The 15,006-nt window shown below is 43.8% G+C and overlaps 1 protein-coding gene, 1 long non-coding RNA gene and 1 pseudogene across 2 annotated transcripts, besides 10 other annotated features; 2 read left to right on the top strand and 1 right to left on the bottom strand.

Moving 5' to 3' along the window:
* Positions 1-352: 352 nt before the first annotated feature.
* On the bottom strand, positions 353-12,374 carry LINC01410 (long intergenic non-protein coding RNA 1410). The gene is made up of 5 exons (NR_121647.1): positions 12,308-12,374; positions 9,699-9,855; positions 2,250-4,071; positions 1,764-1,900; positions 353-1,046 (listed from the first exon to the last, which is right to left on the bottom strand). It is a non-coding gene; the product is annotated as a long intergenic non-protein coding RNA 1410 (long non-coding RNA).
* Positions 4,242-4,849: an enhancer, noted in NCBI's record as "OCT4 hESC enhancer chr9:66464814-66465421 (GRCh37/hg19 assembly coordinates)". NCBI's record gives its function as "activates a minimal SCP1, AML or CMV promoter by ChIP-STARR-seq in primed H9 embryonic stem cells {active_cell/tissue: H9 hESC(primed)}" and the evidence as "EXISTENCE:reporter gene assay evidence [ECO:0000049][PMID:30033119]".
* Positions 10,863-11,740: an enhancer, noted in NCBI's record as "H3K27ac-H3K4me1 hESC enhancer chr9:66457923-66458800 (GRCh37/hg19 assembly coordinates)". NCBI's record gives its function as "activates a minimal SCP1, AML or CMV promoter by ChIP-STARR-seq in naive H9 embryonic stem cells {active_cell/tissue: H9 hESC(naive)}" and the evidence as "EXISTENCE:reporter gene assay evidence [ECO:0000049][PMID:30033119]".
* Positions 11,259-11,488: a silencer, noted in NCBI's record as "silent region_19923". NCBI's record gives its function as "represses an Ori minimal core promoter by ATAC-STARR-seq in GM12878 lymphoblastoid cells {active_cell/tissue: GM12878}" and the evidence as "EXISTENCE:reporter gene assay evidence [ECO:0000049][PMID:35858748]".
* On the top strand, positions 11,401-11,519 carry RNA5SP283 (RNA, 5S ribosomal pseudogene 283; annotated as a pseudogene).
* On the top strand, positions 11,479-12,998 carry LOC107987020 (uncharacterized). The gene has a single exon (XM_047424300.1). The coding sequence runs from the start codon at positions 11,981-11,983 to the stop codon at positions 12,668-12,670; it is 690 nt and encodes a 229-aa protein (XP_047280256.1). The 5' UTR covers positions 11,479-11,980; the 3' UTR covers positions 12,671-12,998.
* Positions 11,741-12,620: an enhancer, noted in NCBI's record as "H3K27ac-H3K4me1 hESC enhancer chr9:66457043-66457922 (GRCh37/hg19 assembly coordinates)". NCBI's record gives its function as "activates a minimal SCP1, AML or CMV promoter by ChIP-STARR-seq in naive and primed H9 embryonic stem cells {active_cell/tissue: H9 hESC(naive and primed)}" and the evidence as "EXISTENCE:reporter gene assay evidence [ECO:0000049][PMID:30033119]".
* Positions 11,809-12,158: an enhancer, noted in NCBI's record as "active region_28434". NCBI's record gives its function as "activates an Ori minimal core promoter by ATAC-STARR-seq in GM12878 lymphoblastoid cells {active_cell/tissue: GM12878}" and the evidence as "EXISTENCE:reporter gene assay evidence [ECO:0000049][PMID:35858748]".
* Positions 12,679-13,424: an enhancer, noted in NCBI's record as "H3K27ac-H3K4me1 hESC enhancer chr9:66456239-66456984 (GRCh37/hg19 assembly coordinates)". NCBI's record gives its function as "activates a minimal SCP1, AML or CMV promoter by ChIP-STARR-seq in naive and primed H9 embryonic stem cells {active_cell/tissue: H9 hESC(naive and primed)}" and the evidence as "EXISTENCE:reporter gene assay evidence [ECO:0000049][PMID:30033119]".
* Positions 13,425-14,171: an enhancer, noted in NCBI's record as "H3K27ac-H3K4me1 hESC enhancer chr9:66455492-66456238 (GRCh37/hg19 assembly coordinates)". NCBI's record gives its function as "activates a minimal SCP1, AML or CMV promoter by ChIP-STARR-seq in naive and primed H9 embryonic stem cells {active_cell/tissue: H9 hESC(naive and primed)}" and the evidence as "EXISTENCE:reporter gene assay evidence [ECO:0000049][PMID:30033119]".
* Positions 13,569-13,648: an enhancer, noted in NCBI's record as "active region_28433". NCBI's record gives its function as "activates an Ori minimal core promoter by ATAC-STARR-seq in GM12878 lymphoblastoid cells {active_cell/tissue: GM12878}" and the evidence as "EXISTENCE:reporter gene assay evidence [ECO:0000049][PMID:35858748]".
* Positions 13,879-14,048: an enhancer, noted in NCBI's record as "active region_28432". NCBI's record gives its function as "activates an Ori minimal core promoter by ATAC-STARR-seq in GM12878 lymphoblastoid cells {active_cell/tissue: GM12878}" and the evidence as "EXISTENCE:reporter gene assay evidence [ECO:0000049][PMID:35858748]".
* Positions 14,599-14,738: an enhancer, noted in NCBI's record as "active region_28431". NCBI's record gives its function as "activates an Ori minimal core promoter by ATAC-STARR-seq in GM12878 lymphoblastoid cells {active_cell/tissue: GM12878}" and the evidence as "EXISTENCE:reporter gene assay evidence [ECO:0000049][PMID:35858748]".

Below are 15,006 nucleotides of genomic sequence, written 5' to 3'. Positions count from 1 at the left end.
AATCAAACCATTCGAAAAATCACTTTAATTGTAGAGATTGACAGTATCTTTCCCCTTCCCTATCTCCTTTCCTCTTTTGTGATTTTTTTTTTCTGATCACTATGAATCCACTCCACAGAGTAACCTCCTTTCTTAATCTGTGTGAATTGTGGTGATGAGCTAGTCAGCTCTCTTAAAACCACTAACAAAAAAGTTTTAAATTTCCTAGTTAGTAATACATTTTTAGCATGCCACAAGATACTCTTAGAACAAGGACTTCTGGTCCAGGCATTATGGATTATGATGATTAGTTCTCTGGATTTCTATAAGCTTTGAAATTATGAGGTAAAAATCTAAAATAAGTCGGACTTCATGCTATTTATACATTTATTGGGTTTGTTAATTATTCCATAGGAAAACAGATGAAAGACTTTTGTAGAATTCAATTCTGCTTCACCATACTTAGGGTTACAAGAAGGCAATTATATTGATGTAGTTGACAGACTGAATTAACCTCAGTCATCACATGTGATTTTTCTAGAGTTTTTTTAATGGTGTTGACATTCTCTTCAATATGTCCATGCTTAGCTTGGGTTTCTGGGGGACAGATGAGTAGCTAGTACTACCCATCTAAAACATAATGTTCACTAGTTGGAATAATGGTGTGATATGATAGTCTTCAAGATGATGCCCTCAATTTCTTTCCTCCCTGCATGCACATGCTGCTGTTTACATTGACAGGTAGAGTCGAATCTCCCATTTCTTGAATCTGTGCTGGTCACAATGACTTGCTTTTCCAATAGGATGCAGCAGAAGTCGTATTCTAGGACCTCCAAGGCTAGGCCCTAAGAAGCTTTGTAGTATTTGCCTGTGTGTCTTGGGACAAACTACCACGTTGTGAGCACTCCAGGTAACATGGAGAGGTCAGATAGGCATCACACTCAGCAGCCAATATGCACTGCCAGCCATGTAAGTGACCCGTTTAGACTCTTTAGCCTAATTGAGCTTTCAGGTGACTTCAGCAGCAGCCAACCAACCGCAACTGCAAGAAAGACTCCAAAAGAGAACTTTTGTAGTGCCCATCAACCCACAAAACCATGAGAAATAACGTTATTAAAATTACTAAACAAATAATAACAATAAACAATATTAAACAATAAATAATTCCGTAAGTTTTGGAATGGCTTACTATTCAGCAAGAGATGGCTAGAAGAAATACTAAATATTGCACAATACTGAATAAGTATAAGTTTATTTGTATAATATACTTCTATATTTCAAAACCATTGACATTTCTGGAAAGAGTGCAAAAGTGAGCACTGATTAAATGGTTCCCAAGAGAAGTTGTCTGTTGTGTCTCAATAGCATCATTTACCAATGGGAGCTGTATTTTGTTTTTGGAAAATATACATTTTAATGTTCATTTTGAAAAATATACTAACCATTGTTTAGAAAGGCATATGCTATTTTGAAAAAAATTTGAGCGAACCAGAGAAGTGTAAACTTTAAGGCTCTAATCATATTTATATGCTATTTAACCCATAAGTCCAAAGTCTGATGACAAATATGTTTATGTAATACTGATATTTGGATAAATAAGTTAAACTAACAGCTTTCTTTTTAAATGATAGGCTTATAATTGGTATGATGTTGAGATGGCTGCAGTGGATGGGCTCATCACCAGAATAAAATTTTCTCTTTAATACTTTTTTAGAACATTAAGTGAGAACCAGAGAGTCTAAAACTGGGTTACACAGCAGCAATAAAATCAGAGTGACACTTACTTTGCAGCAGCAGGACTGGAATTCTTGCTGTTGGGGTTGGTGGCAGCAAACTCAATTATGGGTGTCTCCTGCTTCATGCTTAGATGATGTGTTGGAATATTTCCTGTTTAGAACTCTCTAACACTTCCTGACTAGAGCTGTTTAAAATAGAAACAAACTCCTCTGATTTTGAATTTAGCCTATTTATTGTTACGATTTGTTCATATGTTTCTACTTTTTAGACTGTGGCTTTCTTGTAGACAGAAATTATATCTTATACCTCTTTTTCTTCAGCAGCAGTGTGCCTGGCACCTATTTGAATTGTCAGGTTCATTGAATGAGTAAAGCAAAATTATACTAGACTTAAACTATTAACTTTATCAATTCTACTCAGAAAATATATAGCTAAGTATGACGTATGAATCAATTTACTCACTTATTCAACAAACTTTTTTAAGTGACTACAATATGTTATGAGCTAGGAATATGACAGTAAACAAATCTCACCTTGTCTCAAACTTCAGTGGATCCAGGAGTCTCTAGAAGTTTAATTCTTGCTCAATCAGCAATTCCTTTTCACTGAAGACTTGACAAGAAGTTTTGAGAAGGCAAGAGTGTGTGAACTCAGCAGATGTTTGTGATGCACCTACCTACTGTGTGCCAGAAGCTGTAGTGTCACAGGCTCTGCCTGTGTCTCCTAGGAAAGGTGAAAACTAAGGACAATATTTTACACAACAAATAATGGCAAGTATGCCATGTGATGGAGAGGGAAAGTGCTGGCTCCCAAGAGTATAACAGGCACTGAGCCTAGCATGGGGTCCAGGCGTCTCTGGCATGGTGCCCTCCTAGGTCCTGGTTGTCCCTCCTTGTTGCTTCTGCTGTCTTCTTCAGTTACATCTGCTTCTATGCATTTCCTCATTTTACGGTATGTGGGATGCAGTCATCTCTGAACAGGAGTAGGCAACTGTGCACCTGTTACACCATGCTTGATGCTCTGCATTGACGTACACTGGGCCCAGGTTTTCCTGGTGGACTGCTTGGGCCATTCTTGTCACCTGGCTCTGAAGTCTTTGCTCACAGAGGTGCACTTGCCAGATGGGTAAGCCAGAGATCTGGGGTCCTCTGATGAGGCCACTCTCACCCTGCTTATATTCCCTGACATACATAACAGATGAAGCTCAGGTGGGCAATGCACCTCAGGCCACAGTGTGGACTGTTGTAACCAAGCGAGTTATAGAGGAATGCCACACTTTGAGACAAATTAAGGAGTCCTTTATTAGCCGGTAACCGAGAGGCATGTAATGCTCAAAATTCTCTTGGCCCCGAGGAAGGGGCTGGTTTTGTTTTTATACCGTGGTCTAAATAGGGGAGGGGGGAGTTTAGCTGAAACAAGTTTTACAGAAGCAGAGCTGGCAAATAGTTAAAATATTAATTGGTTACAATAGCAGTTACAAAACAAATAAACAGTTCCAGGTGCAGGGGCTTAAACTATCACAAAGAGAGAAATGCAGGGGTTTTGCGTGACATTCACCGAGTGCGTACCCAGGAGCAGCTGGTGCAGCTTGCCTCAATATCTTATCACTAAGTGCATTCCTGGACCTGCTTTGAGTCAGTTTACACTAGTTATGCAATTAAGGGTGGAAGGTAAAGGGGGCTGCACGTGAAGAAACTAAAATGGAGTCTGTCCGGCTCTCTCTCCGCTAGGAGAGAGTCACTCAGGTTAAAACAAGGTAGGGTATCACAGGACCATGTACAATTCTTCAAACTCCAGCTTCAACTCTCTTTCTTATTGCTCTCTTAGGACAGTATATTTAGATCAGAGTAAATGAAAGTAATGTTATTAGGAGATAAGATTAAAATTGATCCCATTTGTAAAAAGGGAAGTAGATTATTTGTGAACTGTAATACTTTTTTTTACTGAAGAATCACCTTAAAACTTGGAACCTGGATACAAGATAATTCCTTCATTCTGTAAAAGTTTAGTAGCAAACTATATGCCAGGACTGTGCTAGGTACTAGGGATACATAGTTGAATATATAGTACAAGATGCCTTGGAGTGTCAGATAGTTTCATATAAATGGCTCATGCAGTATATAGACAGTGTGGTAAAAAGAGACTACTGAGATGTGCAGAGGACAGACAATAAAGCGTCTTCGAATGGTAGATAAATGTGTTTGGACTTTTCACTCAGGGCTGTTGAAGTTTTTGAAGGTCAGTGGTCTCAGAGTTTTGGTGTTTTCAAGCCCTGCTAAGCACTTTCTTTCTAGCTGATGATTGGCCACCATTACTGATCATCTATTGGCTCTGTCTGATTCAGCAATCCCACCACTGAGTATTTATGCAAAGGAAAAGAAATCAATGTATCAGAAAGATAACTGTACTTGTGTATTTGTTGCAACACTATTCACAGTAGCACAGACATAAAATGAAACTAAATACCCATCAACAAATGATTGGAGAAAGAAAATGTAGAAAATATACACAATGAAATACCATTCAGGCATAAAAAACAATAGAATTATAACTTTTGCAGACACATGGATGGAACTGGAGGCCATTGTTGTAAGTGAAGCAAGCCAGACACAGAGTAAACATCATATTGTATCACTCATAAGCGGGTGCTAAAAGATGTGTAGATATTGACGTAGAGAGTGGAATGATAATGGAGACTCAGCAGGGTGAGGGGATGGAAGGGGTGAACAGTGAGAAATTACTTAATGGGTACAATGTGCATTATTCTGGTGATGGATACCTAAAAGCCCTGACTTCACCACTATGCCATCCATGCTTACAGCAAAATTACACTTGGAACCCATAAATTTATACACAAAAAGTCTTAGACCTCTCTCTCTTCTCTCATAAGACTCAGAGCTCAGTGATCCCCTTGGATCCCTCAGCCTGCTGAGTTTTGATTTTCCTACCTAAGGTGATTTTGGGCAGAGACAAGGGAGTGTTTCTGGAAGATGTTCTCAGGCACACGCTTCTAAAGAAACATTGGAGACTCTTCTAGTGGCCTTTATCTAGTCACTGCTTTAAGCAAGGAATAAAACATCTGTGGCTAAAATTTGTAAAACTGTGTTTCCCACCCACCCTTCAGACCTGACAGAAGAGATTTTAGGATTTTAAGGGAACAGCTTTTTCCTGACCTAAAAGGGCACAGTAGTGTAAAGGCCAATGTCAGGTAAGTACCTGTTCCCCATCTGTAAAATAACTTTCAGATACTATTCCCACAGCTGGAATCAGTACAGTGTTTTGACTGAGGTATTGGAAAAGCCTATGAGCTCATTATCATTTGAACATATGAGTAATGTAAAATTTAGGCAGAATTTTATTTGAAAGGATTATTTATGCAATTTTTAATTAACTGATTTATATTGCGGTTATTTCACACAATAAAAATCAGGTCGTTGTGTTGTAAGCTAGAAATATTTACAATAACACATGGTCTTGATTATCTCACATGATGAAGACTAAAGCAAAATAATTTATCTTGGGGAATTCTGTGACAGTTTCTCTTTCACTTTGCTTTAATAATGACTTCAAACTGTTGTACATATATAGAGAACTCCTGACTAAAGAGAATATTTTGTCTATTGTGCTATGTTTCTGTAACTTTTTAAGATCTAGAGGAACATATATTTAGTCTCAGTTGGCCAACTAAATGTTATGGAGTCAGCTTCTGTGTTATGTGCTGAGCATTGAAGGAATGGTGGAGACAAGGCTGCTGCCCTCACAGAGTCTGCGGAGAAAACCTGATGGAGTGTGGCAGGGAACATGCTGGGAGCATCCCAGGGTGCCAAAAGCGCACACAGATGGAACACCTGCCTTAGAACAGGGGTGAGTCAGACAAGGAGAGGTGTCAGGAAAAACAAGGAAAGTTTAAAATGCAGGAATAGAAACGCACTTGAGAAATCCATGGGGAATGAAAAGAGAATGGCTGAGCAGCAGCAGATTGTCAAGAAGGAAATCAAGAAGGATCAGCCAAAGAGGTTGATGGAGAACCAGGAGAAAGAAGGTGACACTGAAGCCAAGGGAAGGAAAGTGTTTCAGCATTTCTGGGAAAAAATGACATGTTCTGTCTTAACCTTGCTGTTTTATGAGTCATATAGCGACATTCCAGGTTCTGAGAAGTCCAGCACTAAAGATGTTTCTTTTAGTTTGCTTAACCCAGCATTTGCCAGAATAATCTGGGCTTAGTGTGAGTGTGTGTGTGTGTGTGTGTGCCTGTGTGTTCTACTAATATCTCACTGAGGCTAGTGCTCTATACAACATAATTTTTAAAACACTGGTCTTATCCATCTTTTTGTTCAGCTGCAGCAACACTTACAAAGGTCAACTTTGATCATGTGTCTTCGTTACTAAAAGAAACAAAACAAACTAATGAATAAAGCCCACCTGGCAGTGACTCCTCACTACCTGTATGATGGAGCCCACCTGGCTTGGCCTGGGTGCCCTGTGCTGACCTGGCCGTGCTGTCTTCTGCCTGCTGCTTTGCCTCCCCTTTCCTCCTGGAGAAGGTAGAGATGCTCTGAGCTTTGGCTCATCTGGAACATGTGTCCTTCCCCTCATGTGGCCCATGTTTTCCTGAGTCCACTTTAATCTCGTTTAAGGGTATAGAACTTTCCTTAAAGCTTTTGGTCAGGTCTCACTCTCTATGCTGTCTTCCTGCCACTTCTACAATGTACATACTTTACTGATACATTAATTATGCTATACCAGCCCAGGTTTTTACTTCTATATCATTTTATATCATCATCTTTTTTTCTTAGAGCTTAGTTCACTTATTTATTCAGTCTTTCCACAATATAATTGTATGTCATATAATTTCATATTGATTTTCATTGGTGTTTATATATCTTTTCTGCAAAAATGGAGGCTTTCTAAATAGATCTTCATTAATGTTGAAAGAACAAGGTTTTAAGTCTTGGTCTCAGCCAAAAGGAGTTCCCCGCATTACCAGGAGGGAAAGAAACACTTGAATTGTTGCATTAGATATTCTTACAGAGAAAGAGAACCAAGTGTAATGGAAAATTGCTAACTTGGCCTCAGGGAGTCCAGGTTGATTCACTGAGAAAGTTTGAATTGGTTTAGAAAGCATAGTTCTGAGTTTTCTAGAAGAACAAAATTTAGAGTAGGGCATAAGAAGTAATGCCCATATCAAAAAATTAGAAATATCTCAAATTAACAACCTAACATCACAACTGAAAGAATTAGAGAAGCAAGGAGAACTCAACCACAAAGCTTATAGAAGACAAGAAATAACTAAAATCAGAGCTGAATTGAAAGAAATTGAGACATGAAAAACTGTTCAAAAGATCACTTAATCAAGGTTTTTTGAAAAAATTACTAAGATAGGGCACTAGCTAGATTAATAAAGAAGATGAGAGAAGATTCAAATAAAGAAAATTAGAAATGATGAAGGGAATGTTACCACTGACCCCAGAGAAAAAAAAATAACAACCAGTAACTACTACGAGCACCTCTATACACACAAACTAGAAACCCTAGAAGAGATTAATAAATTCCTGGACACATATACTCTCTCAAGACTGAACCAGGAAGAAATTCAGTCTCTGAGCAGACCAATTATGAGCTCCAAAAATTGAATCCGTAATAAATAGCCTACCAACCCCCAAAAAGCCCAGGACCTGATAGATTAACAAATTTTAACAGATGTACAAAGAAGAGCCAGTACCAGTCCTACTGAAACTATTTCAAGAAATAGAGGAGGAGGGACTCTTCCCCATCTTGTTCTATGAGGCCAGAATCATCCTGATACCAAAGCCTGGCAGTGACAAAACAAAAAAAGAAAACTTCAGGCCAGTATCCTTGATGAACATCCATTCAATGATCCACAACAAAATACTTGCAAACTGAATCTAGCAACACATCAAAAGGCTAATTCACCATAGTGAAATAAGCTTCTTCCCTGGAATAGAAGGGTGGTCCATCATGGGCAAATCAATAAAATGTGATTCATAACATAAATAAAACTAAAGATAATAACCACGTGATTGTCTCAACAGATGCAGAAAAGACTTTCAGTAAAATTCAACAAAGCTTCAAGTTAAAAATTCTCAATAAATGAGGTATCAAAGGAACATACCTCAAAATAATAAAGGCCACCTATGACAAACTCACAGCCAACATTATACTAAATGGGCAAAATCTTGAAGCATCCTCCTTGAAACCCGCACAAGACAAGCATGCCCTCTCTCACCACTCCTATTCAACATAGTATTAGAAGTCCTTTCTGGAGCAATCAGACAAGAGAAAGAAATAAAGCGTATTTAAATAGAAAGAGAAGTCCAACTACCTCTGTTTGCAGACAACATAATTCTGTATCTAAACCCTATAGTTGTGACCCAAAACTCCTTAAGCTGATAAACAACTTCCACAAAGTTTCAGGACACAAAATCAATGTACGAAATTTGCTAGCATTCCTATACACCAAGAAGAGCCAAACTAAGAGCCAAATCAGAGAGGCAATTTTATTCACAATTTCCACAAAAAGAATAAAGTACATACAAATACAGCTAACCAGGGAGGTGAAAAATCTCTACAATGAAAATTACAAAACACTGCTCAAAGAAGTCAGAGAAGACACAAATAAATGAAAAATCATTCCATCTTAATGGAGAGAAAGAATTAATATCATTTAAATGGTTGTACTGTCCAAAGCTATTCCTATTAAACTACCAATGACATGCTTCACAGAAGTAGAAAAAAGCTATTTAAAAATTCATATAGAACCAAGAAAGAACCTAAGTAGCCAAGGCAATCCTAAGCAAAAAGAACAAAGCTTGAGGCATCACATTACCCGACTTCAAACTAACCTACAGCACCATAGTAACCAAAACAGCATGGTACTAGTACAAAAACAGACACATACACCAGTGGAACAGAATAGAGAGGTTAGAAGTAAGACCACATACCTACAACTAGGTAATCTTTCACAAAGCTGGCAAAAACAATCAATGGGGAAAAGATTCCCTATTCAATAAATGGTGCTGGGATAACTGGCTAGCCATATGCAGAAGATTGAAGTTGGACTTCTTCCTTATACCATATACAAAAATCAACTCAAGGTGGATTAAATACTTAAATGTAAAACCCAAAACTATAAAAGCTCTGGAAGACAACCTAGACAATACCATCCTGGACATAGAAAGAGGCAAAGATTTCATGATAAAGACACCAAAAACAACAAATACAACTATTGACAAGTGGGATCTAATTAAACTTAAAAGCTTCTGCTCAGCAAAAGAAATTATCAATAGAGTGAACAACCTATAGAATGAGGAAAAAATATTTACAAACTATGTATCTGACAAAGATCTAATATTCAATATGAGGAACTTAAATTTACAAGAGAAAAACAAAAAACCCTATTAAAAAGTGGCCAAAGCCCTGACTTCTGAATAGCACTTCTGGACCCAGCCAGGGACTGAGGGATCTCACTGCCCTAAAGGAAAGAACACAGGCCTGTCTGGCTTTGCCACCTGCTAATTGTAGAGACCAAAGGCCTTGAGTGAACATAGGGAGTCGTCAGAAATTGCATGCAGCAGGACTTGAGCAAGACCTGTGCTGTGCTAGCTTCAGGTCTGATCCAGGGCAGTCATAGTGGTGGTGGCCAGAGGTGCTTGTGTCTTTCTTCTCCCAGCTTTAGGTGGCTTAGAACAGAGAGAAAGACTCTGTATCTTTGAGAGAAAATAAGGGTAGGGAAAGAGTCTGTGGCTAGTAATCCAGAAAATTCTCCTGGATCTTGTTGAAGGCTGTCAAGGTGGTACTTCTCTGAGTCTGGAAGAATTACAGCATTATTGGGTATAAGGTGCTCCATAAAGCAGATATGGCTTAGATCACAACACCCAACTCTTTTCAAATATGTGAAAAGCCTTCCCAAGAAAGATAGCTACAAATAATCCCAGACAGTGAAGACTACAATAAATACTCACCTTTTCTCTCTTTAAATTTTATTTTTTAAACTTCTCATATGGTGCTGCATGCCCAAGATTTTAATGTCCAGACACTGAAGAACATCTACTAGCATCAACACCATCCAGGAAAACATGACCTCACCAAGTGAACTAAATAAGGCACTGGGGACAAATCCTGGAGAAAAAGAGATATGTGATGTTTCAGACAGAGAATTCAAAATAGCTGTATTTAAAAAAAAAAAACTGAAAGAAATTTAAGATAACAAAGTAAGGAAATTCCAAATTTTATCAGCTAAACTCAACAAAGAGATTGAAATAGTTACAGTAAATTAAGCAGACATTCTGAGCTGAAAAATGCAATTGGCATGCTGAAGAATGCATTAGAGCCATGTAATAGCAGAATGGATCAAGCAGAAGAAATAGTGAGCTTGAAGACAGGCTCTTTGAAAATACATAGAAGAGACAAAAGAAAAAGAATAAAAACAACAAATCATGCCGACAGGATCTAGAAAATAGCCTCACAAAGACAGATCTAAGAGTTATTTGTTTTAAAGAAGATGTAAAGAAAGAGGCAGGGGAGGATCTAGAAAATAGCCTCACAAAGACAGATCTAAGAGTTATTGGTTTTAAAGAAGATGTAGAGAAAGAGGCAGGGGTAGAAAAATTTATTCAAAGGGATAATAACAGAGAACTTTCCAAACCTAGAGAAAGACATCCATATCCAACTACAAAAATGTTATAGAACATTAAGCAGATTTAACCCAAAAAACACTACTTCGAAGCATTCAATAGTCTTCCAAAAGTCAAAGATAAAAGTTCTTAAGCAAGAAAGAGAAAAGAAACAAATAACCTACTGGGGAGCTCCAACATGTCTGGCAGCAGACTTTACAGTGGAAACTCTACTGGCCGGGAGAGAGAAGCAATAAATATTTAAAGTACTAAAGGAAAGAAACTTTTACCTTAGAATAGAATATACAGTGAAAATGTTCTTCAAAAAAAAAGAATACTGACTTTTTCAGACAAACAAAAGCTGAAGTATTTTATGAATACCATACCTGTCCTAAAGGAATGCTAAAGGGAGTACTTCAATCAGGAAGAAAAGGACATTAATGAGTAATAAATGATCACCTAAAGGTAAAAAAAAATCCTCACTGCTAATAGGATACAAAACAAAACAGAATATTATAACACTATAGCTGTGTGGTGTGCAAACTACTCTTATTTAAAGTAGGAATACTAAGTAATATCCAATCAAAAGTAATAGCTACAACAACATTTCAAGACATAGCACAATAAAATATAAATAGAAACAACAAAAAGTTAAAAAGTTAAGGGATGAGCACGACCCGTCCTGAGCCGGCAGATGTGGTGGAAGCCCCGGAGCTCCGGAGCTCCCGGAAGGACTGGAGCGTGGGCGGAAAGGAGGCCGCCCCTAGAGCCGGAAGCCTGCGCAGGGGACAGAGGCCTCCGGCGGCGCCCCCCAACAACAGCAGGGCGGTGCCACATTGGTCCTGAGCCAGGCCTGGCCGCCGGAGACGGCGGGACTCTCTGGGAGGCCGGCGGTCCTCGGGTGTAGAGGGAGACAGCTGCCCGGGGGCACGGGCGAGCGCCTCTGGGGGTCCTGGATCCGAGACCCGCGGCCCCGGGGTGGCGATGACGCCTGGAGTCATGCGGGCTTGGCTGGGCCGGGCTCTTGGGGCAGCCAGGCGCCGCTGCTGGCGTCTAGGCCACACCACCCTGAACGCGCCCGGCTCGCCTCTGATCTGTTGAAGCTAAGCAGGGTCGGGACTGGTTAGTACTTGGATGGGATTCCGCCTGGTAATAGCGGTACCGTAGGCTTTTGGCTTCCCGCTCCCTCCTTCTTTCCCCCTTTTGTCTCCGTGCTTCCCAACTGCGCCCCGCCTCTGCTCCCCGTTGACCGCCCCCGTGCCCCAGCCGAAGCCCAGGACCTCCTCCTGAAGATCCGCCACTGCAGCACCGCCAGGCAGCAGCATCCCACCTCTTCCGACTCGCGGCAGCCCCACCCAACCCGGGCGGGACGGGACCGACCCCGAGGGTGCAGGCGCGGGTTCCCTGAGGTCCCGGGTCTCTTCACGCTCCCCGGACTCCCAGGCAATTGTATTCATTCATTCAGCGTCACTGCAACCGTCCAAGCCGGTGGGAGGGGCGAGCAGGGGCAGCGGGTGCCACAGACCCCAGCCAAGACCTCCGCTCCAGAACCCGAGGGCTGCTTTCCCCAGAGGAAGGACATTTTCTTCGCCAGCCACGAGGAAATCCGTCCCTGTGCACCCTGTTTCCCAATGCCACCGACTTCGTGTAAACTCCAGTCCGGAGGACAGGAGAGAGACCCAGGCCTCGCCCCGTGGACAGGCTCGGCGCCACGGCTCCTGCCAGACACACGAGCACACTCTACAAATCTCGGGGCCCACCGCATCAAGGAGACAGAAAGAAGCAAACAAAGGAAGGACCTTATGAAACGCACCCCCAAAGCAACCAACCAATCCAAGGAAAAAAACAAGTCTCAGGGCTCCATTGGTTTTCCTGGGTGGGGGGCCCTGACCCCCTGTTCTAGCCCGGCCCAAGAACCCTCCACCACACCCCGGCCTGCTGAAAGGTGCCCTGTCTACCTGAGCAGAGCCTCCCTCTCCAAGGCTCTGTCGCTGTCGCTCCACAACTCCCTCACCCTCTCCCTTTCTCTACTTCCCCCTCCACCTCGCGCTCTACTGTGGTGCTCTCTCTTCCCCCCTCTCTCTCTCCTCCCCCCTTTTCTGTCTCTCTCTCTCTCTCTCTATCGCTGTCTCTCTCTCTCCCTCTGGTTCTATTTCTCCATCCCTCTCTCCCTTGCTCTCCTTCTGCAGCAGGAGGAGCTGCAGACAGAACCCCTCAGACACCGAGTTGTAGAAGGAAGGGCTTTATTCAGCTGGGAGCATCCGCAGACTCACGTCTCCAAAAACCAAGCTCTCCGAGTGAGCAATTCCTGTCCCTCTTAAGGGCTTACAACTCTAAGGGGGTCCGCGTGAGAGGGTCTTGATGGATTGAGGAAGCAGAGGGTACGTGACTGGGGGCTGCATGCACAGGTAATTAGATCAGAACAAAACAGGACAGGGATTTTCACAGTGCTTTTCTATACAATGTCTGTAATCTATAGATAACATAACCGAGTAGGTCAGGGATCGATCTTTAACTACCAGGCCCAGGGTGTGGCGCGGGGCTGTCTGCCTGTGGATTTCATTTCTGCCTTTTAGATTTTACTTCTTCTTTCTTTGGAGGCAGAAATTGGGCATAAGACAATATGAGGGGAGGTCTCCCTTTGAGCTATCTGTGTCTGTGTCTTTGTGTGTCCGTGTGTGTGTGCCCGGGTGTGGTGTGTGTGTGTGTCTGCGCGCATGCACCCGTGTGTATCCGTGGGTGTGTCAGGGTGGGTTTGCTCGTGGTAGTGGTGGGGTGTGTCTGGGTGTCCGTCAGCCCCTCTTTCCCGGGATGAGGCTGCCGGGGCTCTAGTGCCAGGGCGGGGCAAAGCAGAGCCTTCTTGCCCCTTTGGCCATGGCGGGTCCTCCTCAGAACAAGCGACGATGGTGTGAGCATTGTGAGAAAAAGGGCCTGTGGGGCTGGGCCGGCTGTTCGCCCCTGGGCAGCCCTGGCGGCTCTGGGTGTGTGGGGCAAGAGGGGGCCTTGCAGGAGGGGCGGTGAGGAATCCAAAATAATTTTTCCGCGGCAAGGCGGAGGACCGGAGGGGACCCCAGGACCGTGGGCCCTGGGCCCTGACGCCTCGGAGCACACCCCGTCCTAAGCGGGCCCCAGGTGTTGGAAGCTCGGGAGCTCAAGAGCCTGGGGAAGGCCTGGAGTCCCAGCGAGAGGGTGGCCGCCTGGAGAGTCCAGAGCCCTGGCAGGGGATGGAGGTCTCTGGCGCCTGGGCTGTCTCGCGCATGGTCTGGCCGCCGGCGACATCGGGACGCTCTGGGAGGTCGGCGGAAAGCGCAGCGCGGCGATGGTGGTGCTTGGGCGTAGAGGGGGAGAGCAGCCCGGCCACAGGCAAGCGGCTCCGGGGTGCCTGATCCCAGCCTCGCGGCCCCCGGGTTGGTGGTGACGCCTGGAATCAGGCAGGCGTAGCTGGACTGGGCTCTTGGGCCAGCCAGGCGCCACTGCCATTGTCCACGGCCATACCACCTGGAAAATGAGAGAGACCCAAGCCGCGGCCCGTGGGCACGCTCAGCGCCACTGCTCCTGCCACAGTGAGGGGCGCACTCTACAACTTTCAGGGCCCACAGCACCAAGAGGACAGGGAGGAGCCAACAAAGGAATGACGCTACGAAAAGCACCCCCAAAGCAACCAACAAATCCAAGTAAAAACACGTCTCAGGGCTCCGTTGGTTTTCCCGCGTGGGCGGCCCTGCCCCCATGTTCCAGCCCAGCCCAGGCACCCTCCACCCTACCCTGGCCAAAGGGGCCCCTGTCTACCAGATAGAGCCTCCCTCTCCAAGGCTCTGTTGCTCTCCCTCTCTAGCTCCCTCACCCTTTCCCTTTCTCTACTTCCCTCTCCACCTTGCTCTCTCTCTCTCTCTCTCTCTCAATCTCCCCAGTTCCTCTCTGTCTCTCTCTCCATCGCTGTTTCTCTCCTTCCGTTTCTATTTCTCATCCCTCTGTCCCTTGCTCTCCTTCAAGTTGTCTGTGTCTTTGTGTGTCTGTGTGTGTGCTTGTGTTCCCGCGCGTGCGCCCGTGTGTGTCTGTGTGTTTGGGAGTGGGTTTGCTAGTGATTGTGGTGGGGTGTGTCTGGATGTCCATCAGTACCTTTGTCCCAGGATCAGGCTGCCAACTCTATTGCCAACGCCTGGGTGTCACAGTTGCCGTGATAGTCTCACACACGCAGTTGTGTTCATCTCGTTCGTTTTCACGTAGACAACGAGAGCGAAACCACAGAGAAAAGAAACATCCCGTGCATCACGGCCTGATGATGGATTCCTGTTTCCTGCAAAATGGGGAGTCTCCAATATAGCCTGTTTGAAAACTGGAAAGGAGAGCACCGACACGATGCTGGTCTTCCACGCATTCCTGGAAGTTTCTGGGGCCCCACAGAGCTCGCGAAACAGTCAACATGGTCACGCTTTCGGGGGGCAGAAACTTGAGCAACAGGCACCTTTACAGAGGGCAAAGAAACGTGGAATCCAGAATCACGCTTCAGTTGGCCTGAGTGTGACTCCTGTGTGGATGGGACTATCCGCCTCGAGCTCTGTTGCAGGGCTCAACGTGGGGATATGTCATCTGTGAACCATGTGGATGAAAAACAGACAACTACCTGGGTCTCGGCTCATTGCTCTCTGGGGAATTC

The sequence above is a fragment of the Homo sapiens genome, chromosome 9, assembly GCF_000001405.40.
Source record: "Homo sapiens chromosome 9, GRCh38.p14 Primary Assembly".
NCBI classification, from domain to species: Eukaryota; Metazoa; Chordata; class Mammalia; order Primates; family Hominidae; genus Homo; species Homo sapiens.
This window is presented reverse-complemented; position numbering and strand designations above follow the sequence as displayed.

Coding starts and splice junctions, on each gene's coding strand:
- LOC107987020 (XM_047424300.1), top strand. CDS start 11,981: ATGCCACCGACTTCGTGTAAACTCCAGTCCGGAGGACAGGAGAGAGAC.